General features: G+C 41.9%; 1 pseudogene; it reads left to right on the top strand.

The window, feature by feature from the left end:
* On the top strand, window positions 239–529 carry RN7SL91P (RNA, 7SL, cytoplasmic 91, pseudogene; annotated as a pseudogene).

The raw sequence follows: 1,888 nt of genomic DNA, 5'->3' as shown, positions 1-1,888 counted from the left end.
AAATTTTAATTTGTAAATATAGCCATCATTTTTAAAAAGTCCTCTTCTTTTAGAGATGCAGATGTAGTGATGTCTGGGATTTGTTTCAAAATATTCAGGATGGGAAAGTGAATGAGGATAAGAATAAAGCAAGAGTTGATAACTGTTGAAGATAAGTGATGGATTCATGAAAATGTATTATGTTGGTCGTTCTACTTTGAGATATGCTTGAAATTATCCATTAAAAAAAGGAAAAGGAGCTGGGCATGGTGGCATGTGCCTGTAGTGCCAGCTACTCAGGAGGCTAAGGCAGGAGGATCATTTGAGTCCAAGAGTTCTGGGTTGTAATGCACTGTGTCTATCAGGTGTTTGCACTAAGTTCAGCATCAATATAGTGACCTCCCAGGAGTGGGGGACCACCAAGTTGCCTATGAACCAGCCCAGGTTGGAAATGGAGCAGGTCAAAACTCCCAGGCTGATCAGTATTGGGACTGTACCTGTGAATAGCCACTGCACTCCAGCCTGGGCAACACAGCGAGACCCTGTCTCTAAAAATAATAATAAAAATAATAAAAAAAGAAAGAAGAGGAGAAAGAAAAGGAGCAGACTGATTTATATTCTGTCATACATTGTCCAGGTCAGCCCACTGATGCCCTTCATTTTGAGTAACTCAGCCAATCTTGGCTGGAACCTCAGCAGGTGAGGTCTGGAATTAGTTATGCTGCTATCAGCCCAGGACCCAGAGTGACTACAGTTATAACTGGGAATACACAGCTCTCGACATTTCAGTTCTTCCCTAATCCTTCCAAGTAGTCACTCATACAACAGTACTTCTATCTCAATTTCTTGCTTTGTGCCCTATCTCTCTCCTGGAATACAAGCCTATTCTAAAGCTGTCCACTTATCTGAGACCTTCACACCCTGTCTCCTCCCTGCTTTTTCCCTTATAATCTCAGCCTCTGTGTTCAATTTCTCCCTCAAGGAACAAATAATAAAAATATAATAAACACTTATAAAGTACTTATTGAGTGCCAGGCACGGTTTCAAATGCATTCCATATGTCAGCTCATTCAATCCTCACAATAGACCTATGATTCTAGTGCCACTTTAATCTCCACTTTGCAGATGAGGAAACTCAGGCACTGAGTGGTTTAAGTCCCATGCCCGTGCTGACATACCACATGCCAAGGCAGTGGTAGAGCTGGGATTCAGACCCAGGTACAGTGGGCCCAGAGTCCTTGGTTTTCTCCCCATATTGGAGATCTAGGTCTCTTTCAAATAGAACATTCATAGCACTTCCTAACAAATCCAGCTTACTCCTCCCCTGCTAAATCCCTACCTAAGGCTCTTGAGTGCTTTATTTAAGGTCAGTGGCCCTGACGGTCAAGCAGCTGGAATTGGAAAAGTTTAGCAGAGAAACCCTGCTGCTGATGACAGAAATTCTGGCTGCCTAAGAGGGTTGTGAATCCACGCTGTTTCATCCCCAGCCCCTCAGCTGGAGCAACAGGGTGTGAGAGCTGGGAAGGCAATTTCTATCGTACGCCAAATGATACAGGAAGTATTTGACACACCTGCAGAGTTCACTGTAATGGTATTTGACCCGTACTAAAAGTCTCTAATTTGAAGAGAGAAAATGAATATTTGTATGTTGAGGGCGACACAGAGAGGATACATTATAGTGTGACAGATGGAAATGGATTTACTAAGACATTAATAGTATCTAGACAGGTTTTCAAGCACACCTGGGAATACATTACTGACACATTACAGAAATACACTGATACACTTTTATTCCCATAGCAGGCAGAAAAACACTTTATCTTTTACAATTCAAAAGAAAACTGCACTCCAATGACACCCGAATCTATTAATTTTGTCTTCTGGGCTAAAACTCTCAATCTTTCTGAGT

This window comes from Homo sapiens, chromosome X (assembly GCF_000001405.40).
Source record: "Homo sapiens chromosome X, GRCh38.p14 Primary Assembly".
Lineage (NCBI taxonomy): Eukaryota > Metazoa > Chordata > Mammalia > Primates > Hominidae > Homo > Homo sapiens.
Note: the sequence above shows the minus strand (reverse complement) of the source record. Positions and strands in the feature narration are given on the sequence as shown.